The 24,571-nt window shown below is 44.2% G+C and overlaps 1 long non-coding RNA gene across 2 annotated transcripts in view; it reads left to right on the top strand.

The window, feature by feature from the left end:
* The first annotated feature begins 92 nt into the window (after window positions 1–92).
* Window positions 93–24,571, top strand: part of LOC124906243 (uncharacterized) — a 207,146-nt gene continuing 182,667 nt past the window's right edge. Inside the window, exons 1-3 of one of the 2 annotated variants that reach the window (XR_007095916.1) lie at window positions 93–191; window positions 20,908–21,165; window positions 23,635–23,903. This is a non-coding gene — a long non-coding RNA (uncharacterized LOC124906243). The remainder of the gene's footprint in view (window positions 192–20,907; window positions 21,166–23,634; window positions 23,904–24,571) is intronic. The other variant, XR_007095917.1, reaches the window with a different exon arrangement.

Here is a 24,571-nt window from a genome sequence, read left to right as displayed (position 1 = left end):
CTCGTCCCTGGGACTGGTGTTCAATGTTCACCTCTGTGCAGAGTGTTCTGAAGAATTCAAGCTTATATACTCAGCGGTCACTCTTTTCTCTTAGTCTCCTTGGAGAGAGGCATTCCATTCACAATTAACTCACTTAAAGACTGGACTCAGAGGAAGTGTAATGGGTGAACACTCAAAGCACAGGAGGAGAGGTAGGAACTGAGTCCTGGAAAAGGAGGAAAAGGCCTTCCAGGCAGAGCAAACAGCTCAGGCAAAGCTTTGGAGATGGGCATGGGTAGGGGGTGCTTTGTGAGAAGTGGGGAGTCCAGTGTGAAGTGGAGTGGAGGATGTTAGGAGGTGTGTATGAGACACAAATGCCAGGGTGGGCAGTGGGATTTTATTGCCTTTTGAAATGAGGAGCCATAGAAGGTTCCTAAGCATGAGATGATAAGATCAGATTTTGAATTTTTGGTATAAAAACTGGTGTAAAGTGTGGAAGGTGGGATGGGAGAGGGAGAGGCTGGCATGGACCAGCCATTTGTGGTGTCTGTATTACTTTAGGCAGAGATGTATTGACAATATTGAAGTCAAGAATTGATTACATTAGTTGATGTGGCGTCATTGGGAGGGCAGGGGTTTTGGTCAGTAAGGGGGACAAGTTGCTGATGGCCATGCCTAGTTTAAAAGCCTCTCAATGACCATCTCAACCCATATTTGTGAGGAATGGCTTCCAAGAACCTTAAGAGCCCTAACAGGCCCTCCTTTTAACCTCCCCCTGAAGCTGAGACATCTGAGGAATGAGGCTGGATTGCACAATTGAATTTTCCACCTGGGCCCCACCCCAGGTCTGGTACCATCCGTGGGAGGGTGGTACTGGAAACTTTGGAGCTCTACTATCAAGATTTCTTAGCTGTTCTGGTTTTTACTTGGAGTCCTGGGCCCCTCCCAAGGGAGAACAGACCACTTTGGAAGCTATGTCCTGGGCAAGATGGGCTTTAATCAGTACTTAGAGAAACTCCCCATTCAGTGCATTGCTGAACACTTGCCACATCACTTGCTACTTCATAATTTCCTTTAATCCACACTCTACCCCTTTATCATCACTTTACTGATGATGAATGAGACTGGGGCTCAGAGAGTTTCTTAAGCTTCTTTTTCCTGGTTTTACTTCCTAGTTTTGGTAAAACATCCACTGAGAATCTATTAGTATTTGCCATTCTGTCTCCCTCTCCTTTGTTACATGAGCTATTTTTTTTTTGCTCTCTCTCTCTCTCTCTCTCTGGCAGTTTTTAGGACCTTCTCTTTATTTTAGGGAGAATCTTTTTTCATTCATTGTATTGGACACTTGGTGGGCTCTTTCAGTCTTCAAGCTCATGTCATTCAATTTTATTGACATCTCTTGTTTGCTGCAGTCAGAGACCTTGTTCTCATGGTCCTGCAGACTTACTGCTCCTTTTTTATGTCCTTGATTGCCATTTTAGAAGAGTACCATTGGAAAGGGGGGCATGGACGTAAATGTGTGTGTGCTGAGGCCCTCATGTTTGACAGCAGTTCCTTGGAGCTATTTAACATATTTTTCTACAACTCTATCAGAAATTGTTGTTGTTCATGCTAAAGCCAAATAGGCTAATTAGAAATAATAGCCTAATTATAAAGCATTATCCAGTTCCCATAATAATGCTTGGAACCTGGTAAGTACTCAACTAATACTTGGAGATTACATATGATACGCATAAACTTGATGCTGCTTTTTGAGTACTTTAATTGTGTGTGTTTGTGTGTGTGTGTGTGTGTGTGTGTGTGTGTGTGTGTATTTGGGACACTGAGTATGGGGAAGAAGCATGGACTAACAATACAAGGAGATCTGGGTTCCATTCTTGGCTCCATCATAAGCCAAACAAATCCTGTAACCTCCCTGACGCTCAATTTTCTTCCCTGTAAGGTGAGAATAACAATATCAATTTGCAGGATTATTTGGAAGATTAGACATGATAATAATGACGATTTTAATGCTAATTAACACCTACAGGGTCTTGAATCATGTTGTATGTTACATCCCATCTCTTAATTATTCCATATGATAGCCCTATGAGGTGGGTAATACATCTCATCTTAAAGTTAAGAAAAATGAGTTTTAGAGAGGTTATGTTTCATGCCTAAAGTCACCCACCATGGGGAGGGGGAGGCAGGCGGGAATCACATCTAAGTCTGCCTCCCTCAAAGTGTATGATTTTAAACCTCTAACTCTGCTGCATGTACCATATAGAGCCATATAAATGATAGGTGCTACCATTGTGTTCAGGAAAATTGGGAATAATGCCTTTCTTGATTCTCAATGCGGGTTTTGTTTATTTTTGGTAGACATAATCTATCAAACAAGGTAGCAGTAGACAAGGATCGGTGAAAAGGGGCATTTGGTGGTGAAAGTGAAGTGGCCCCTTGAGGAGGTTATCCATGCAGTGTCTTCCAGCACTAACACTACCTTTGACTTCATAGCAGTTTCAGGCTGTGTAGAAACCCAATTCAAACTGGCTTAAGCCAAAAAAGAGGATTTACTGGCTGTAACTGAAAAGCACAGGAGCTTCTAGCTTTAGGTCTTCAGGCATAGCTGGATTTGAGATCCCAAAAGCCGTCCTTAGGGCTCAGACGTCCAGCTCTGTTGTGTTCCATGTTAATTCCATCCTCAGTTGCAATGGCTGCCAGCATTGTCAAGCCCACAGCTCCCCTTGCAATTCCTGTGGAAACAATGACTCTTTTCAACAATTCTCCCACAAGGTTTGGAGTTGAATTTCTTATTGGCTCTGATTATCCCACTCCTAGAGCCTTGGTTGGGAGTCTGCTCACATTAAATCAAAGGAAATTGAAAGAGAATGCAAGGTAGTTTCCCCAAGAACAATCAGAATCTAGGAGGTGGGAAATGGATGCTGAGCAGTCAAAAAGAAGGATGCTTTCCACATTGAACTCCGGGGAATCCTCCTTGAAGGCTCTGAGAGGTGGGAACACAGGACAGGGTGTGGAAGCAGGATGGGAAGGATGCTGTAGAGCCCAGACACCCAAGTTAAGAACCTCTGAGTCACACAACTCCATGGTTCTATTCACATGGTAGAGTCTATGTAAACAGCCCATGTGCTCAAGTCTCATTTTAGTTACACCAACTCAGTCCTTGTCAGTTTTGTGTGGGCCACCATAGAATAATTAAATAAAGTTTGAAAAATATTGTATTAACTTAAAGAGGTTAAACAGTGGAGATGCAGGGATCCTGGGAAGCTGGCAGAAGAGAGATCTGTGAGCAGGAGAAGGGAGCATCTGTCCTACATGCCAAGGACTGGGCAGTGGGTTTACAAAAGGAGAAGCAGAGTAGCTGAGAGAGGGGGGATCTGTGGCAGAAGCTGAGATAAAGTCATAACTGGGAGTCATCCGTGCTAGGGTGCAAACCCTGGGTGTCACCAGCTGGCTCAGGTGGGAGTCCCTGCTCAAGACATGGCCAGCAAGCCATGGTTGGTAACATCTGCATCAAGTTTCAAGAGATCTGTCTTAGGGTCCTAAAGAATTTATGTCTGCATCCTGCCACCAGGGAAAAGAAAGATGAAGGGCAAAAGGATATTACCTGCAAGAGGAACACAAGGTATTATTTGAAGCCACTAGAAAGAATGAGGGGAATATCTGGTGTCTGGCTTTTTTCTTTCCTGCCCATTAATGAGCTCTTGAACAATTGCTGTGTTCCTGGCCCAGTGCTCAGCACTAAAGGAGAAGATCCGAAACGTACATGAATATTTCAACAGTTCGGACTCAAGATACCCTCCACAGAATGTACCCTGGGTCCAAGAAGGCAATAGGGATCTGGCCAAGTGTTTAACAACTAACTTTTTGGGGGTGGGGTAAAGACTCCTGGCATTTGCTAGTATCTGTGGCGTAAATGCTCCCACCATGATTAGTTTCAAGCTACTAGCATGACACCATTGAACTTGGAGTTGGGTAGAGCTACACAGTAGCCCACTATTATAAGTCTTTTCACTGTACAGATGCTAAAGATGTAAATAACCTCAAGAATATAGGTAACAGCAAAATGTAGTAAAATACTTAGAAAGGGATGGCTCTTTAGCATTTATCTTTGTATTTAATATAAGTTATTTAAGTATATATATAAAAGTTAATTTTTTGTTGTTGTTGTTGTTGAGACAGAGTCTCGCTGTCGCCCAGGCTGGAGTGCAGTGGCGCAATCTCGGCTCACTGCAGGCTCCGCCCCCTGGGGTTCACGCCATTCTCCTGCCTCAGCCTCCCGAGTAGCTGGGACTACAGGCGCCTGCCACCTCGCCTGGCTAATTTTTTGTATTTTTAGTAGAGACGGGGTTTCACCGTGTTAGCCAGGATGGTCTCGATCTGCTGACCTCGTGATCCGCCCGCCTCGGCCTCCCAAAGTGCTGGGATTACAGGCGTGAGCCACCGTGCCCGGCCAAAAGTTAATTTTTAATAATGACTATGTTTAATACTTGATTCACAGAATTCCAGAGGAGCCCACAATGGGCTCTTGTGAGTCTTTTTGGCTGGCTCCAGCACATGACTGCCTTGTCATCATTCTCCCAGGTCCTAGAGGTTCAGCCTGCTTCCCTCATCTTTTAGAAGTCTCACCCCAAGGCAGATGCATTGCCTAGACTGATAAATGGTCAATCTCTTAAATGTGCTCTCTGTTAATTGAGGCAGGAAGCTCTTTCATTCATCTCCACCTCCTCAGGGTGGTCCAACAAGGCACAGCAAACATTTGATGAGTGACTGAGTGAGTAGCTGCTGGGAACAGGCTGGCTGTGGAGGCACAGAAATAAATTCTAGGTTCCCTGCTCCACGTTTTCACAGCTCATGATGCTTCTTGGGCCTGGCAACCATCACAGGTGTGACCATCTGCTTAATGGCTGTTTGCATAGCTTGGGGCATCCTTCCATGAGGACAGGGACTGCAGCTGGCTTTTCACTACTCCAGCCCCAGTGTTTAGCGCATAGTAAATGATCAGTCAATGTTTGTTGATTCTGGCTGACTCTACAAAGTTAATAGTACTTTCTGTTAACTATGCAGAAAATACTCAAATGCATTTCTGTTGAAAAAGTATCTCTCATTACAGATAAGGCTAAGCACCCTTTGACCAGCCCTTAATTCCAAATACTCTCCTAATGACAACATGATCACAGCAATTGGTGTGGTGTACATCTTTTCAGTTTTTATTTTGTTTTCATTTACTTACAAATATATCTATAGAAATATATGGCATTGTTTTGGGACTTTTACCTTTTATTGTGAAATATTTACAGATTCACAAGAAGTTGCAAAAATAGTAGAACGAGATCCCTTGTACCCTTCACCCAGTTTCCCCCAGTGATTACATCTTATGTAACTATACAATATCAAAACCGGGAGTTACATTGGTAAAATGTGGGTATATAGTTCTATGCCATTTTATCACATATGTAGACTTGTATAACCACCACCACAATCAGGATACAGGATTATTCCATCAACAGATTATTCCATCACCTATCCCTTTATACTCTTCTCTCCATTCCACAACTCTCTCACCCAACCAACCACTAATCTGTTCTCTATCTTTATAGTTTTGTCGTTTTGAGAATGTTACATAAATGAAATCATACAATATTTGATCTTTTAAGCTTGTTTTTTTCCACTCAGCACAATGCCCTTGGAATTTGAGTCTGTTCTTGTTTGTAATATAAATGACATTGTGTTGCATGTATTCTTTTGAAATGAACTGTATGTCCCAGAGACCTTTCTCTTTCAGTATACTCAGATGGGTCTGATTCTTTTTAACTGTCATATAATGCTCCATAAAATAGATCATCATACTTTCTTAAGTTCCCCTATTGATTGTTGTCCATGAACTCTTCCCCCGTCCCCAACAAGGGGCTGCTTACAGAGCAGTCCCTTTCCCAAGCTCCTCTGCACAGAGGTCCTTACCCGTGAGTTGCACTTAGCCATGTGAAAAGCAGAAAAAATGGTGTTTGGGAGAAGGTGCCCCAAAGATTCCACAGAAGGAGTCTCAAAGCTTGAAGAAAGACTCATCAGCAAGTTCTCATGGCTCTTGAGTCTCTTCTGTTTAACTCTTTCCCTAAGAGGTGGCTTATCTTCTCATCACCCAGACCAATGAATAAAGCCAGAGGGAGAGGAGAAAAATAAACCAGTTATCTCCAGTTGCCCATTCATGTAAATGGCAATTCCCATGGCAGTGATCTCTGCCCCTGAGGCTCCAGAGAGACATCCTGCACACACACACTCTCACACAGACACAGACACACACACACACACAAACGTACTCTCTCTCTCTCTCACACACACATTCTCTCACACTCACACACACCCCCAAGGGAGGTAGGAGCAAGTGATAGAATGCCAATCAGCCTTCTTTTGACCTTTGCGTAGGATTAAGACCCTCTCCAGCAAGCATGTGATGAAGCACTGACTCTGGGGGGTGTTGAATATTAGGTAACAGGGAGGAAGTGAGATTCTGAGAACCCTCCTTTGACCCCACTGAAAGAACACAAGTCACAAACTCACAGCTCCATCCTGAAGGAAGCCTGTCATTGTTTCTGGGCCAGAAAGCTTTGACAAGCCCCAAATCCTAACCTCCAGAGCCCAGTCAAGACTGATTTCTAAAGACTCCAGTTCTGGGCCTCTCACAAATTCCTTATTTGCCTCCCCACCCTTCTCTTGCCACACTCTGAGCATTTGGTACAAAATCTTAGGGCTGGTATCTATGTCTGGAAGACTCAAAACTTTATTTAGAGTTTCCTTATTCTTTGGGAGAATAAGATCAGGCTCATTTTAATAGACTAAACCAGGAATCTAAACTGAAGGCAGAGGCCATGTAAACAAAACCCTTTTATGTGGTGACTCCAAATGAGTTTACTTTAACAAAAACAGGACAAGTAAATAAGTGAGGTTTACAAATATAAACTGCAAAGTTGCTGAAGTGTGAGATAAATTGTCTAAGGCCCTTCTGTTTAAATTCTCTGGCCTGGCATGTCTCCTTTTGAGTTTTTATCAGAGGGAATCTGGGAAGGAGAGAATGTTCTGTACAAGAGAAAAGAATTTCCCATAGTGGGGCCAACCAGTGATCTGATTAGAAGACCTCATGCAGGGGCTACCAAAGCTGACCATTCCTCCCTCCCAGGGTTCAGGGACATACCTGGCTGGTGATATCACCCCTGTTGAAGGGACTGTTAGAAACAGCTTGTTCTGCCATCATGACCCAAGAGACCAATGCAGTGGTGGAGGGAGTTAGGCAGTTGACTTCAGAGAGATGAGAAAAATTCCAGAAGATGTCATTTTTACTTGAGGGGAAATTTCCCTCCTTTATCCACCAAGAGGCAGTGGGTGTGCCCAGCAGGTGGAATTCATTATGAAGATGAGCATCCTTGCCAGTGGGACTGGTGACCTGGCATTCAACCACTCTCCCAGGGAAAGAATCTAAACATGGCATGAGATTTCATCTGAGTGGTTCCAAGACAGTTTTGGATTTGGAGGTGTGAGTAGAGTTCAAACCAGTACAAATATTGTGGGAAAAAGGCAAAGAACAGGGAAGGGGTGGCAAGATAACCTATATGCTGTGGGGTGCTAACACATGTTTAATAACTGGCTCTTGGAGTTGGAAAGAGAACTCTGATTTGCAGCGTTTGTGGATTTCTGTGGTGTAAAGATTCCCAATATGGGTAATTGCAAGTTAACAACAGGAAGTCACTCAGCTCACAAAATTCTTGAATATTAAACAATCAGCCTTTCCTAGCTGGTATGCGCTGGCTCTAGCACACCACTGCCTGCGTGGATCAGGAAGTGGGTCTTAAGGTTGAGAGTGGGAGTGATGGGGGCTTTTCGGGGGAAGTATAAAGTCGGAATCATTTTCCCAGTGATTTAGAGTACCGTGTGTTTCTTTGTTCATAGTACTTAGGATACTTGTTCAAGTATTCTGATACTTGTCTGCTTGCCCTCCTAGACTCCATGGCAGAACTGCATCTCTCTGGGTCACCGATGTGTCCTAGCATCTACCACAGTGCCTAGAACATAGTAAAGCAGTTTTGATTGGTCCAAAGATCTGTAGAATGCTACATTTACTAGTAAAGTACCTACTATGTGCTAGGCACTGTAGTTTTCCCTTGACAGGAAAAAATCCAATTCCATCTTCATAGCAGGCTTCTCAAAGTATGACAGGTAAGTCACATGGAGGGTTGATTACAAATAAAGTTATCTGGGCACTCCCCAGATCTTGCTGAATGTGCAGGGCCCAAGAATCTTCATTTAAACAGCTTCCTATATAGATTTTATGCAAACTTAGATTTTAAAATCACTTTCTCATAGGGTAGATCTTATTATTCCTGTTTTACAGATGAGGAAACTGAGGCTGATGGGTCTCAGTAACTTCCCCAAGGTTACACATTGGATAACTCAGGGGTCTAGGACACTAAGCTAGACCTTCCAGATGCCAGTTAATAGGCTAGATGGGCTCCCATAGAATAAAACCGAATGAATGAATGCATGACAGATGTCTCCACTGGGTGTGCAGTGTGGAATTCAAGAGGCAAGAGGGGAAGCCTGTAGGAGTCAATTATATTTGTTTTGGGGTGAAGTGATATGCCAGGCTTAGAGTAGAGACAGTGGACACAGTAAGACATTGAGATAATTAAAAATTGTTCAATGCTATGCTCTGTGTCAGGTACATTCAGAATATCACATCTTAAGTGAGCTTTACATTATAACTTCATTTAATTTGTATAACATCTCAGCAGGAGAGCTTCTGTCACCCATCATTTTTAGAGTGTAATTCAGGAAGAATAACTCACTGAGTTCACCATTAAGAAGCAGAGGAGCTGAGGTTGGAGCCCTAGTTTCTTTCCGTCTACGCTCCTTGGCCCCTAATAAATTGGGGTTCAAACCCATGTACTCTGATTACAGGGGACGTGAAGGCCATTACAAGGGAAAGTGAGGGTCAGCTGTAGTCGTGAGATTCCTACCAGCCCCAGTCAGAGGAGCTTTGGCAGCAGTTGGAAGAAACACAGCAGAGGAACATCAGTTGCCACGACCACTGGAAAACACAAGTCTATGTCTGTATGTTCCTGGAGAATGTCACTGTTGCTGGGGCATCCCAAGCACTGATGTGGACAGATGCTATCTGTTGGTAAAATGATTTCCTTATGGCTCTTCAGTAGCCTAGACCCTGCATTTTGTCTTATCCCATGGCCATGTGCAGGTCAAATGAGGCTGGGAACATCTGTTCTGAGGCAGTATTTTTTTTTTTAAGATAAAAGTCATCAGGGATGATTAAAACTTCAGAATGAAAGGAGGTGATTTCTGAAGAATGTTCTCTTTGTCATCTTTTCCTCCCGCTTCTTCCTCTTCATCTTCTCCACTCATAGTTTTGCACAGAGCTAATGACTAAGTTATGAAAATAAAAGTCTTGCTGGCTACAAGAGGCACATATTTGCATGGTGCGGGGGGATGGAGTTGAAGAGCTTGCATTTTGTCTGGGAATCATCCCTCATAAGCCCATGAGTTTGGAACCAACATGACACAGAATAATTAACAAGAAAGCCAGTGTCTGCAAAGAGGCATTCTTTAAAGAATGTCTAAGATTCTGTGGATGGGAAGAAGATATGACATGAGGCTGAGGAACAGAGGAGGGGACATCAACCAAATGGCTCTGCCAGGGCCTTGCTTTTTATTGACCCACTCTTGCTGGTCTTTCCTAAAGCATAGGAGTGTGAGGCTTCCTGCATCATCATTGGGATTATAGATTGACATAATCTTTCTGGAGAGCAAGTAGGCAAAATAGCACAACCTGAGATGGGTGCCTACCCTTGACTATGGTAAACCACTAGGGTTTTGGAGTTGTTACTGCAACATAATTTAGCCTCATCCAGAATGAAACAGTAGGTAATGACTTACATTTAGGCAAAAAATGTTTGCATCCTACAATAGATCCCTCTGTAGATCTAAAATAAGAAGATTCTTTACACTTATTGATATGCAAGACTCTCTGTATTAGTCGGGTCCTCCAGAGAAACAGGACCAATAGAATTGGAATTGGCTCATGCAGTCATGGAGGCCAAGAAGTACCACAGTATGCCACTTACAAGCTGGAGAATCAGGAAAGCCAGTGGTGTAATTCAGTCCAAAGTCCAAGTCCAAAAGCTTGAGAACCAGGACGAAGTGTGAAGGCAGGAAAAGATGGATTTCCCAGCTCAAACAGAGAGTAGATTCTCCCTTTTCCTGCCTTTTTTGTTCTATTTGGGCCCTTAATGGATAGATGATGCCCACTCATGTTGGTGAGAGGGATCTTTACTCAGTCTACTGATTCAACTGCTAATCTCATCTAGAAATGAGCGTAGTGTTAGTAGTGCCTCATGGTCACACCCACATATAATGTTTTACCAGCTATCTGGGCATCCCTTAGTCCAGTCAGCTTGACACATCAAATTAACCATCCCATTCTCCAAGATACATTTTCAAGTAGAAAAGACCTCTAGTAGCATGCATGGCATGAACCCAGTTTGGTAAAGTCACACATGGAAACTGTAGGTAGCCTTATGTGTTTAAAAGTTGGACTGCACAATACCTTCCTGCTTGTGGCATTTGGAACAAGCTTTTCTGCAGGCTGTTCCAGGGCACCGATTCTTAGGTGGACTCTTTCATGATTTTGGGTTCTCAGCCGCCTAATTGGTACAACATTATAAATACTCAGGAAGCCAAAGCCTATAAAAGTCCTATCTTTACTCTTGTCTCATGACACACAAAGTATGTGGAGTTCCCAGCACGTAAAGATCTCACCGGGTGCTGAAATGTGTGGAAAGTGCTTTATGTTGATGTGTTTGGGAAGACAACTCCCCCACCTCCCTGTGTGGCTCCTTTTTATTCTGTCATTCATTATAGCATGTGGTTGCCCAGGATTTATGAAAAGACGTATTCTATTTATACCACTTCACACAACTCTCTATCTCACACTGCCCCCTAATACCACCACCGCCACTAGTTAGAAAGTGAAAACTGAACTCAAGCTTTGGCAGCCTCACCCCTCCTATTGGTGTTGATTGCCCATGTGACTGGCATGTGGTTTTACAGTGGCTTTGTAATTTCTCTTGGCGTCCTGTAGGCAAAATGTGTGATGGTTCATATCAGCATTTTCTTGGGCAGCCAAAATTCTAGTTATTAGTAAACGTGGGTCTCCCCAGCCTTAAGATGCCCTGAAGATTTTAACACTAACACTACTACTACTACTAGTAATAGTTGTATTAGTATTAAAATTAACAGCAACGATCACTTATTTAGTGTGAACTGTGCTAGGCCCTGTGCTAAACATTTCATATGCCTTATCAAATTTGACCCTCACCATACACAACCCTTTGAAGTAGCATAATGATAATCTGCAGTTATCTCATAGATGAGGATGTGAGGTAAATAGCCCAGGGTCACGTAGTTGGGAAGGGGCAATGCTGAGATTGCAATGCAGATAGCTGGGACTCCAGATTTTGAGTTAGAATTTCACCCTTTTGGCCCAAGGCTTGTTAATGATGAGGCACATACTTTAAGGTGACCTTCACTCCCCACCATAATTTTCCATTTAGTCTATAAGGCCTGTATCCGAGTCAGCAGAGGGAATGGGAGAGAAAGGATCAAGAAATCTACCATTAAGCCACAAAAAAACCTCAGCATTGCTGCCTCTTGGCACCCCCTAAAGTGAGATTGAATAGAGCTCAGAAAGAGCCAGCCTGTCTGCCCAAAAGCTGCCACTCTCATCAATCCATTGATCACACACACTTTCAGCCACCCTGCCAGGTATTCCACATTATTACACAAGACAGCATCCACCTGCAATTCCCGGGGACCCATGCCTCCTCTCCAGCATAAATCCTTTCCCTCTCCTGCAGTGCTCCCAAAAATGAAATGGACAAAAAATGCCAGCCACTTAACAACCCTTCAGGCAATTGGTCCGTTTTTCTTTGGCCTAAAGTTCTATCTTTTGACAGCCAGTGTGAAAGGGTAGAGGAAATCATGATTTTAGATAATTCCACCTTCCTCTAGCTTGGTAACCTCCTCTCCAAGGCCATTCATGCAGCCTACTTGGAACACCTTCAATCTCCATCGCTACCAGTGAAGCTAGAAAAGTCATTTCCTTCTCTTGGGACTAGGTCCGGATGCCTTAGGATAGCCGACAGCGCCCTTTAGAACCTGGTCTACCTTCACCTCTCAGCGTCGCTGCCACCTCCCTTCGTTGAACTTCCTTCAGTTCTTTCTTCAACATACCATGTTCTCTGAGATCTTGGAGCCTTTGGCTGTCCAATTCCCCCTCCACCTGGAATACTTCCTTTTATGTCAAAACTGAACCCACTTCCTTCCCCTGAGTTTTACTCGGTAAACCCACTTATCCTTTAGGACTGAGCTACATCTCACTTCCTGTGGGAAGCCTTCATTGACCACCACCACCTGGGCACACATCCCTGAAGTAAATACACCTTCTACCCCACATTCCCAATCCCTCTGTACTTCTTATCAAAATGATCCTAAAGCTTAGCACACCATTTCTTTGACCAGTTGATCCTTTTCTGATATTCACTTACCTTAATATTCTTACAAGTGTATATACAAAATTGCTAGTGAAAGGAGTCTATGCCCTAAAGGAACTCTTTACTAATAAGGCCACTGACCACTTTACTAGCTAACTTTTTTGTAAGGCCACTGGATTGAGAGAAAGCTATGGTTCCCATTGCTTCTGTGAACTGAACGGAATGTGTTTTTTAAGTTTATTTGGTGCAGATGGATATGGTGGTAGAAGCCATAACTCTGGATCCTGAGGCTATACCATACTTTTTTTTTTTCCACTGTCTGAAATGTGTGCTTCTGTAAAGCTTTCTCACTTGTCAAAAACAGAAGAGGGAAGGGAGATTACATGTCTGCCTTACTCATTGTGTAGCCCTAGGATCTTCTGTGTCCAGTGGAAGAGAGGAGCTCAGCTGCACACGCAGCTTAGCCATCTTCATTCGTTCATAAGCAAACATTACAGTCTGTAGCCTTATCGCTGCTACCTCCCTCTTCTGCAGCCACGGCAAAAACTCATAAGCTGGTTATCACTAAGCTTGTATTTTTCCATGCCAAGTTTTCCTCCTCATCCCTGCTGATGGAAACATTTGCTTTCCTCCTGGGTTTGCAGTCGGTCTACTCCCACACCAACTCTGCCCAGCGCCCCTGCCCCCTGCAGGTTCTTTCTGCTTTTATTTGAACGCATCACTTTTGGCAAGAAGCAAAGCTCCTTTTGGCCATCCTTACACTTCTGTCACTCTAAAGCCCACTTGCCTCGCATGTGTTACAGCCACAGAGTCACTGACCACACCCCTGTCCCCTGCGCCTATCTTACCCAAGTGCAGGCCACCGATGGACTGGGGGACCATCCCAGGGCCCTCTTGGATGGCCTTGCCATCCCTGTTCCCTTGGGAAGGATGACACAAAGGAGGCATTATGCCAACCTCCATCTGAGCAGGTCCCTCCCACCATATTGCTGCTGTTGCCATAAAGACCAGCTAGGATACGTTTATATTAATTCAAATGCTGTTTGGGGATGGGTATGCAAAACCAAACAACACCACCTGCTGTGGAGAAGTTGCAGGTGTGCTGCACGAAGATTAACCCTGCTGTGTGCAGCTTTGTTTCTGTGGTGACCACATGTGCTTCTTTCCTTGGAAATGCCTCAATTTGCTGTGCTGGATTTGTTAGAGTGTGGGCCATTTCTGGGAAGATCAGTGTGGTGAGTGTCCATCCTTCTGTCTTTGTGCCTCTGTTTCTCTCTCTGCCTCTTTCTCCCCTTCATTCACACACACATGCATGCACGCATATACACACACTTATTTTTAAGGATGGTTTCAGCCTCTTAGGGGAGATTAGTGCACCCTATATAATGAGAGGAGGCTGCATCTGAAAAACATCTGTTGGGCAGTTTGCTGCACTGCAGAATTAACTGAGTCCAAGTGGACAAATATTTGAGCCTGGTTATGGGCTGAGGCATTTTAGCAGAGTAGTTTGGAGAACTCATTGCATTCTCCTCTGTTAATGTATTGCAGCTAGAGTGTGCCTACCAAGGGGCTGGGACCAGATCTGGGGAAATCTGCCCCTCCTTCAGCAGGCTGTTCCACCAAATGCCCACACCAGCACTGGGTCCTGCAGAGTGACCTGCACACACCTCATCCCACCAATAAACATTCAGTCTCACCGTTGGGTCTGTGTCTGTCTGGTCTGCACATCCTGCGTCTAACTGGCCTGTGTCACATGGAACGCCCCTTGAGGGCAGGGTGCATGAGTGTGCCTGACTGTGTGTGTCCCTGTGCCAGTTTGTCACTGAAGTGCTCTGGCTAGAACTCCTCTGCAATGTTGCATATTTTATACAACCAGGTGTAAAAGTATGTCTGTGGCCAAGCCTGCAAAATGTCTCCTGCAAACTGGGATGTTCCCTTCCAACTAGGCAAACCAGGAAAAGAGCCTCCGTGTTTCAAGGACAGGGGTGAGGGCCTGCAGGTCCTGCTTCCTCCTCCTCCAGAAAGGATACTTGCCCTGCCACCATCAGCCCTCCAAACCCTTATGGAGGGGCCTTCACAGGGCTGCAGCTTGGGGGCCTGTTGACTAGTGCCAAAGAGTGTATGTGCAGAAGCCTCCCAGCCCTTGGCCCATGGGGGCTGGGTGGTGGCAGACTGTCCCCAACAATGCCCCACTATTCCATCCAAAGTCCAACAGAAGGGCCAGTGGGAGCAAAGTATAGGCATCCCTCCGTAGGAAGATGAAAGCTCACTTCCTTTTCACCCCCACTGTACCTTCTGCCTTCAGATTACAGCCGCTTGGTGGAGGCTCAGTTCTTTGATGAAGCCAGTGGCACAAAGGACATTGTGCAGGACTCACAAGGGCAGATTCAGGGCCAAGACCCCTCTGTCATCAGGGCCTGGGAATAAGAAAATGCCAGGAATTGGAGAAGCCCTTTCAGTAGCTTGCCTTTCTCAGAATGAGTCCTCAGGACCATGGAAAATATTTGGGCCTCTCTTCCTGACAGGTAATGCTGTTATTTCATCAGTGACAACTCTACCATGGAGACGCTGATTTTAGACCTTGGAAGTTGTATGGGACTATCACAGGACCATGGCCAACCTTTGGAGTAGGCACTCCTGGGTCCCTGGCCCCATCTCCATTTCTACTTTCTGCTCCCTGAAGCTAAAATCTGTTGAGTTCACGATCTTCATTCTGAGAAGCTGGGATCTTCTGCATTCATCTGTACACAGTTCTTTCCAGTCTCCCTCCTGACTTCAGTGTGCTAAACCAGGTACCTGAGGAAGGCAGGATGCAGCAGGTTTACTCCATCACATCCAGATCAATAACCATTAACATTGTGCATAGATGGAGTCCTCCCAGCACTCTACAGAGTGGGCTTTGTCCCTCATCTCTTCTGGAAGTGCTGATTAAAAAAAAAATTCCTGTAGATCTCAAGCCCCTGGATTCTTAGAAACCCTCTGTTCCAAACAACCCAATCTACTCACTGCCCCTAACTGCCTGGTTCTTAAACAAGAGTGTGTTTCAATATCACCCAAGGAGCTTTTGGAACGTGGATCTCCAGGGGCCACATGCAGATTTTGATTCTGCATGTCCACCAAAGCCTAGGAAAGGCCAATCTATTAGGCCCTTCTGTGATTCTGGCATAAGTGGTCACCAGATTTCACTGGATGGGGCAATGCCCTATTGGATGTGCAATGCCAGGTGTTCTGGGTCTATATGTGTCTGCATTGTCTAACAGCTGTGAAATCTTAAGTCTTGGGGGGGGGTTCCTCAAATTGCCTGAAAGTCAGTTTTTCCTTCTAGAAGAATCATGAAAATCATAACACCTCTCTTCAAGGACTGACATGAGCACGTTACCTAGCACCAGGTACCCAGTGCTAACAAATGCCATAGGCTGCCATTGTAATACTGTAACTGTTCATTTGATTACCTGCTCTCAGCCTGTATACTTATTTAGAAGCCCACCCTCCTATTCTCAGCATTCCCATTTATTTCTTCCAGTACTGTAGGTTCCTTAGTGCTCCCTCCTCCTAAAGTGGCCTGACTACCTGCTATTTTTCTGTAGGTTTTTATAAATCTCTCTGCTCTGTCTCTTAAGAGGTTTGTCATAACCGTGTCCTCATTAAGCCCTTTTTAGAACACAGACTGGCCTTTTCAAAGAAGAGGTCCTTCAATTAGCCTATTTAGAAGAAATGGAATTTTCATTAGGGGCACAGACTTGTATAATACACAGAGAGGTATGACCTTAACAACCTCTCAGCCTCTTTCACCTGAGGCCAGGCCAACTCCCTTGACACTAGCCAAGGATTCGTTTTTACACTTCCCAGGCATCGCCCTGCTTTGCTCCAACCCCCATCCCCTGCAGTATTTGACCACGTGGCACCCACAGTTACCTAAAGTAGGATGCAAATAGGAATGCCTTGAGAGACTTGACCATAGCCCCCAAATTCCTAAGCTTATGACTTGCAGCACCTGCCCACGAGGATCGATGTGTCTTTTGGCTTCAATGGGGAGCTATTGGATTCTCCACCTTAGGAAGGTGCCCAACAGCTGCTGTGGATGGTCCCATTGTCCAGGCCTAGAACTAGTCAGAAGGGAATTTTCCCTCTCACCACCATCTTCTATGTGTTCAAGCCCAGTTGACTGGGTGTTCCCACCCATGCACTCTCTCATTTAGTGACCTTTGCTGCTGCTTCCAGCCAGGAATCTTTCTTTCCTCACACTGAAATGCCAACATCAGAACCTGGGTTTAGTCTTTGTAGTAGAATGGCTTTTGTACAGTCAGACCAGCCCTGTTTAGAAAAAGGGTTCTTACTTTTTTCTTTCTCAGAGCTCAGACTAACTCTTTAGGAATCTGTTGGGTTTGGAGAAAACTTCCAGATAGTAGGGTTGCTTAACCTTGCTTTGCTCTCTGTGGGGGGTTATACATAGATCTCCACCACACTTCCATCCTTCTAAGTCTGCTTTTCACTCTCAATTCCAGTATTGTCTCCATAGCCTTGCTACTATGTTAAATGATCATGTTCATCTATTTATGGGTTTCTGTATTGCTTCTCTCCCCTCACTAAACTGTGAACTCTGAGGACTTTGACCATGTTTTGATACATGGCAGGCACTAATTAATTTCAAATGAATGAATGAATGAATGAAGCAAAGAAACAAGCTTCATTCATTGGACACCATGAATTTCCTGGCCAGGTGCTATGTTTAATATCTTCACTGATATTGTATTATCCATTTCCTATGAGGAATAGTTCGTATTCCAGGATGAGCCATGAGAGTGCCAGAGGGTAGCAGGGTCTTCTCAAGTAGATATACAGACTCTACCCCAACATAAAGAACAGCATGTTCTGAGGCAGAGCAGGTGTGATTGCAAGGACACCAGCACATACTAGACCTTCCGAATAACTCTCCAACCTTTCTGGAAGGGGGAAAAAAAAGACAAAAACCTTTTCAACTCAGCATAAGAGAAAACCTTATCAAGAAGAAACGTTGGCTTGAATTTCCACTGAGTTAGAGCAGCTTGGGTAGGGGGATGTCTTGGAAAGCCAGATTTTCAGGGCTTGTGAATGGAAGAGGAGAGGGCAGTGTGTTAGGGTGGAGGCTGAGAATGTGCACCCAATAATGGGATGTCTCCCCGCCCTTAATCTGCAGCCTGTGCACCAGCGGTGTCCCTTGCATTAGCCTGCTGACTAAAGTCTGAATTCACATTCCAAGCAAGCAGGAGGCTCAGGGTCAGACCGTGGCTTGAATCCAGAAGTGAGTGTGAGCACAGACACTGCCTGGACAGTGGGGCAAAGGGGAATCTTGGACATTGGCCTCAAGAACCCAAGGGATGTTGCTGGGATAAGTTGTAGGGATGGGCAAGGGCATAGGAGCAGCCTAGACAAAGGCAGGTCAACCACGGAGGTGTGGGGCTCCATCCTGAGACCTGGAGTCCAGGGGTTGGGGAAGGCATGGAGGAAATGTTTCCCCAAGGCCTTGGATAGTGGGGTCAGTTTATGGGGCGCCTGTGGCTTTGCCTGTGGGTGGAGAGAGAACTGCTAAAGGCATCAAGCTCATTTGGACAAATAAAGATTTCTTTCTGAGGCTTCTTGTGTGTTCTTTAGCTCCACAGCAAGACCACCTAGTCCTGGCTGTACTTCCTCCTTGCTCCATGGTGACCAGTGTATATGCAGTTGGTGTAGATGTAAGCACTGCCCCCCCACCACCCCGTGCCACACCCGGCTCTGTGGTCCTCCCCTCCAAATGTCTCCTCAGCCGCAGGGTCCACCCATGATACTTTTCCAGGCAAGAGAGAAGTCGCCTGAAAACATTTAGCTGGGCACAGTGGCTGTGTAAAACTCCAAGGTGGTTTTAGCATCCCAAGTGAGACACATTTGCTAGTATATGCGCCTTGGAGATCCATGGTTTACAAGATAGATGGGCAGTGCAGAGAGGGGCCTCCGTGTTTTTCATATTTTGCCGCTCCCACTCTCGCAGCCTGGTGGGCGGCTTTCACTTTAAAGTTAGAAAACATTCCAGCCCTTGCCCGTTAGGGTGACTCCTGATACGCCTCATAAACTATTCATAAAACAAAGTGATTCCAGCCCGAGTTTCTTCCCCTTCTTCCTCCTCCTCAAGATTTATTTTCCCCTGCTCTGTTCTGTCCCCTCCACCTTCCTGGTTAACCCTTGGGGGCCCCACTTAATGAAGCATTGCAGCCTGATGTGGATAATGTGGAAACAGTTCCACAGGTCTGCACGTGCAATCTCAGGCCTCCTCTCCACCTCAGTCTCCTCCAGTTGTGATGTTTGTCCTTCCATGTAACCTCTGGCTATTCCCACGCCCTTCCCATCTTTTCAGTATCAAGGGCATTTGAAACTCTTTGCAGCACGGTTGCCCCTCTGCTGTCCCTCTTGACCCAAATATCTAGGGCCTGGAAAGGCCTGAGCAGACAGTTGGCTGTGTTGCCACAGGATGTCCCAGGTTCTTCCTCTGCCCACATACACAGGGAGTGACTTTTAGAGAAAGGTCATGGGACTAGAAATGAGAGTTGCAATTGGTGCATTCTCTCTTTAACCGGTTGCATGCTTAGTGAATGAAAGGCTTTGCAGGACAATCACAGGAACATGCAGACCTGGGTTCAAAGCCTGGCTTGGCCAATTTCTTGCTGAATGATCTACCTAGGCTTTAGTTTCCCATCTATCCACCCATTCATCCATCTGTCCATCTATTCACCCACCTACCTACCAACCGCCCATTCACCCAGCCACCCACCCACCTACTCATCCATCCATCCATTCAGCTATTCATCCACCCACTCATCCATCCATCCACCCACTCATCCGTCCATCCATCCATCCATCCATCCATCCATCCACCCACCCACCCACCCACCCACCCATCCATCCATTCATTCACATGTTCATCCACCCACTCATCCATCCATCCATTCATTCATCCACCCATTCATCCATCCATCCATGCATATAGTGATTCATCCAATAATTAATGAGCACCTACTATATGCTAGGTCCCATTTTAAGCACTTAAGACTTGGCAGTGATAAAGCCCATGAGTTTCTGTCCTCCTGGAGTTGATATATGAATGAACTTGGAAGAGTAAGAGGACTTACCTTACCAGTTGTTGTAAGGATTAGAAGATAAAACATGTAAAGCATTTGTTAGGTAGACCATATGAAATTGCAGTTTTGTGGATCAAAGATGTTTGACTATCAATCAGTCCATCGGAATCAAGCCAAGAGTGAAGTGTCTAGCACATAGTCCTCAAAGAGCAGGAAGTTAACATATTATGCACAAAAGGCTTATATACTCTCCGGCAAGAATGAAAAGATCTTCCAAATGTCTAGTTCATTTAATGAGACATGCAGTTTAAATCAGGTATTATTTACAGCTCATTTTTTTTATTAAGTGTTATGAGCCCATGAAGTCTCGAGAAGCAGCAGACAGGAAGTAGCTTGTTGAGTTTTACCCTAAGTTTTAATGCTCCGTATGCCAGATTGTATGACCAACATTTCAAAATATTCTGACCCTTTTCTTGAGTAAATCAGCAGAGCTTAAAACAGACTTTGCATTATTCAAAGCATCCGTAGGGGAGGGGTGGGTGAGGAGGAAGACCTTGTGTTAAACATTTATGTCTCACTGCTGAATAGCAAATGTAACCTATCTTTACTAAAATCTCCCTAAATGGTTGAAATAAATTTCATACAATGAGTCTATTTTTCCCCCCTCCAGAAAATATACAAAGGCAGGTGTCTAGACTTCCTGGTGTGTAAAAAAAAAAAAAAAAAACCCTCCAAAACGCAGTTTTTAATGTTTACTTGTTTTCAGGTGCAGTTAGGGTTGTTAAGAAAACATTGACTAAGCTTCCTAGGGATTCACGTTGCTGCGGTATTTGGCTTTCCAAGGCTTTAAGGCAGTTACCAAGCAGCAATCCTATGACTCAGTGGTTGAGAGCCTGGGCCTCCTAGCCAGAGGACCTGGCTTTGAATCTTGACTCTCCCACTTTCTAGGAGTGTGACCTTGGACAATTTTTTTTTTTTTTTAAATCTCTGAGCCCCAGTTTCTTCGTTCATTAACTGAATATGTTGATGGTCCCTAATGCAAAGGTTCTTTTGAAGAACAAGTGAGAGAGTACTTGTAAAGTACTTATTAAAGTGCTGAGCATATATTAAGCAATAAGTTATTGTTAATATGGGTACTGTGATCAGTGATATTCATGTTGTTATTATTCTGGGAGTATATTCAGCATCCATCTCTTTAATCAAAACTTAAAAGGTATATAATTCCTTTATGAGAATTTGTCACCTTCTGTTTGGCCACAGTTAATTTTTTGCCCTTTTATGCTCAGCTCAAATCCCTCAAATCTCAGTGATTCAAGTGGACTGAGTCACTTCTGGGCTCCAGCTGATCTTGAATAATGAGACACACCATGGTATGAAAAGTGAGCCTGAAGAACCCTGAAAGCATTTCTGAGTTGGATGAGATTTGGCTAGAAAAACATCCTGTACTTATGACTTGCAACATATGGCTTAGAAAGTATTTTTTCTATAACGCCTCTAATATATATGCAGAAGACACAAAGAGGGCAACTCAATATCACAAAAAAGTAAGTTCAACCTCCTTTCTGCCTTCTTGAGAGATGGCCATTGTTTAATATGAAGTATTGCAAACAACAGTACTTATTTTTATAGCAGTTATTTAAGTATTTTTCGGGCCTCTTTTACATGGTAAGCACTGTTTTCAGCTAACACCTTGGACTCTTACTTCTGTATCACAGAAATGGAAAGGTCTTTCTAAAAAACCAATAACATCTTAGGAAGAACAAAAAGAGTTCTAGATATGTGAAAGCAATTCAGAGTCCTCTTGCTTTTGCCTGGCACAAATCAGGAATTGGGCTGGTTGTGAGGTCCTTTGGTCACCTGTGAGGTTGAACACTCTATCTTAGAAACTTAACTCTCATCTTTCCTTCCACCCAGCCACTTCGTACCACACCCTTGAGCACTTGTAGAGGCATCTGCTCCAATATTCCCAACACTGGAAGGGATTAAGGCAGGTGCTTCTCTGAGAGTTCTAATTCCTGTGGTGTTTGAGCTACTTAAGAATTAATCCTGCTGCTTCCCTCTCCTTTGGGCCTCCTGGAGGTTATCCTCTAACCAGAAGCAGGACACATCTTAGGGTCTGTTTGTCATTGAAAAGAAACACATGTGGTAGGAACAACTGTACTTTCATGTTTGCTTAGGATTTATCCAGAAAGTTCCTTTTTGCTTACTAGCTGATATGGTTTGGCTCTGTGTCGCCACCCAAATCTCATCTTGTAGCTCCCATAATTCCCATGTGTTGTGGGAGGGACCAAGTGGGAGATGATTGAATTATGGGGGTGGGTCTTTCCTGTGCTGTTTTTGTGATAGTGAATGGGTCTCAAGAGATCTGATGATTTTAAAAATGGGAATTGCCCTGCACAAGCACCCTTTGCCTGCTGCCATCCATGTAACATGCGACTTGTTCCTCCTTGACCTCCACCATGATAGTGAGGCTTCCCCAGCCATGTGGAACTTTAAGTCCAATTAAACCTCTTCTTTTGTAAATTGCCCAGTCTTGGGTGTGTCTTTATCAGCAGTGTGAAAACAGACTAATACACTAGCCAATAACAGTACTAAATCTTTGGAGTTTGGGGTGTTGTGACCAGGATAGTATTGTCCCCCAGACAAAATGTTGCTGAGTGGTTTATGGTGCTTATGAAAATTGGTGACATCTAAGGTTATTTACCTCATTAGGTTTGATGGGTCTACTTACCAGGGAGTGAGAAATTCCTAAGGAAGTTAGAAGAATATATTTCCTTATCATAAAAAATTATTAACCCCATCTCTTCCCCTGGACATGTGATAATGAACAAGATGGATACAACTCCTGCTTTTAAAGAGTTTAGATATTAGGGCTGTGCTGTTCAATATGCTAGGCACTAACTGCAGGTGGCTATTTAAACTTAAACTAATCCAAATTAAATGAAATTCAAAACTCCATTTCTTAATCATACCAGGCCCACTTCAAGTACTCAGTAGCCACACGTAGCTAGTGGCTGTCATTGTGGACAATGCCAGAATAGAGTGTCTCTATCTTTGTAAGAGTTCTGTTGGACAGTGCTGGTTTGGAAGGATGTACAGATAGGTAAATATCAATTACAAAAGAGCACATTAAATGTGATAATGAGAGAAATACCAGCAGCTGTGTGGGATCCCATATGGGCACTAATATATTTAGACTCCCTTGGCTGCAAATAATGGGAAAAGAACACTCTCAGCTATTTATTGACACCATTGTCTGTTTAACAAACCACTCTAAAATTCAGTGACTTAAAACAATAAGCATTTATTTAGCTCATGAGTCTGTGGGTCAGAGATTTATACTGCTTGACCAGCTTTGGGGGTTCACACCTGCAATCCCAACACTTTGGGAGGCTAAGATGGAAGGATTGCTTGAGCCCAGGAGCTTGAGACCAGCCTGGGTAACACGGCAAGACTCTGTCTCTATTTTTTTAAAGAAATTTATACTGGGCTTGATTGGGTGATCCTTCTGTTCTTGATTGAGCTCATTCACATGTCTTGGGGTCAGCTGGTTATTGGCTGGGGTCACATTGGCAATTGGGCCCTGTGCCTCTCATCCTCTAGCAGGCTGGCTCTGGCATATTCCCATGGCAATAACAGAAGTGTGTGAATGAACAAGTTCTATCACATAAACACATTTCAAACCTCTATTTTTGCTGGCTAACATCCTAATCGCTAAGGAAAGTCACAAGGCCAGCCCAGATTCAAGGGGAGGGGAAATAGATTCTGACTCTTTATTAGAGAAACTGTAAATTCACAAGGCAAAGGCATGCATCTAAGGAGTAGTACCAGATTAATCTATTATAACACTTCAAACTGGCTTAACTTTGGAAAGTCATTTACTGGCTTGTGAAATTCAGAAGACTAAATAGTCCAGCTTCAGCCGTGGCTGGATGCAGGTGCTCAAATAACATGGTTAGTGATCTGTTATAATCCCTCAGCTCTGCTTACCACTGTTTGGTTTCTTTTTCAAGCAGTCTATCTCCAACTGGTGGCAAAGATGAATTCTAGACTCATCACACTAGCTTCACAACTCAGCAGAAAAAAATCCTGGGATTGATCTCATTGGCCTGGGTTGACTCATGTGGCCATCTGTGAACCAGTCACTGAGCTTGAGGGATGGAGTGCTCTCACTTGCCAGATGTGTGCAGATCCCTGGAGCTGGAGAAGGGAAGGGATACATGGAAACCAGGGGAGAGATGGTTCTTCCAAGGAGCATTGGCATGCTCTTTCCAAAAAGAGGGTAAGGGATGAATGGAAATGATAGATTTCCACTACAGGCAGACACTGGGACTGGGGGCGGGGTGGGGGTGGGGCGGTTTATGTGTGTGCTTCATGCTAAGATGCTGCAAATGAGGAAATACAATGCTGAGGGCAGGTATAAGACCCCGGAAGATCTGTTTGCAGTAGAATGTGATAGACTCATGGTAAAGCTAGAGTGACAAAAGAACAAAAAAGAAGTTAAAGAAAAAATGATGAAAAGGAAGTGAAGTAAGAGAATGAGATGGAAAGAAAAATAGTAAAGAGAGAAAGCAATTAAGAGAAAGAAGAAATGTGGAGAGAGAGAGGAGAGAGCTTTAGTACAGTCTTCTGTAAAGAAAAAAGCTCATAGGTAGATTCTTTCTTAACCCCTCCCATCTCTACCAGAATAGATTCCAAGTGGTAAGTTTCATAATTCCTGTATCATTTAGTGTCTTCTATTCCACCCTTCCAGTGGTAGTGGTTGGGATTAGGAAATTGGAAGGAGAGATTAGGGACACAGACAAGAATGATTTGGTCACAAAAAACTGCCAGAAGGTAATGCATTTCATGCTCGTGTAACAAGTGCTTTCAGACTTAATTAAGTATGTTTTTTAATGGCTCTCTATGGTCCACACAAACAAATGAATGAGTATGTGATTTCATGTGATT

This window comes from Homo sapiens, chromosome 3, assembly GCF_000001405.40.
Source record: "Homo sapiens chromosome 3, GRCh38.p14 Primary Assembly".
In the NCBI taxonomy this organism is placed as follows: domain Eukaryota; kingdom Metazoa; phylum Chordata; class Mammalia; order Primates; family Hominidae; genus Homo; species Homo sapiens.
Note: the sequence above shows the minus strand (reverse complement) of the source record. Positions and strands in the feature narration are given on the sequence as shown.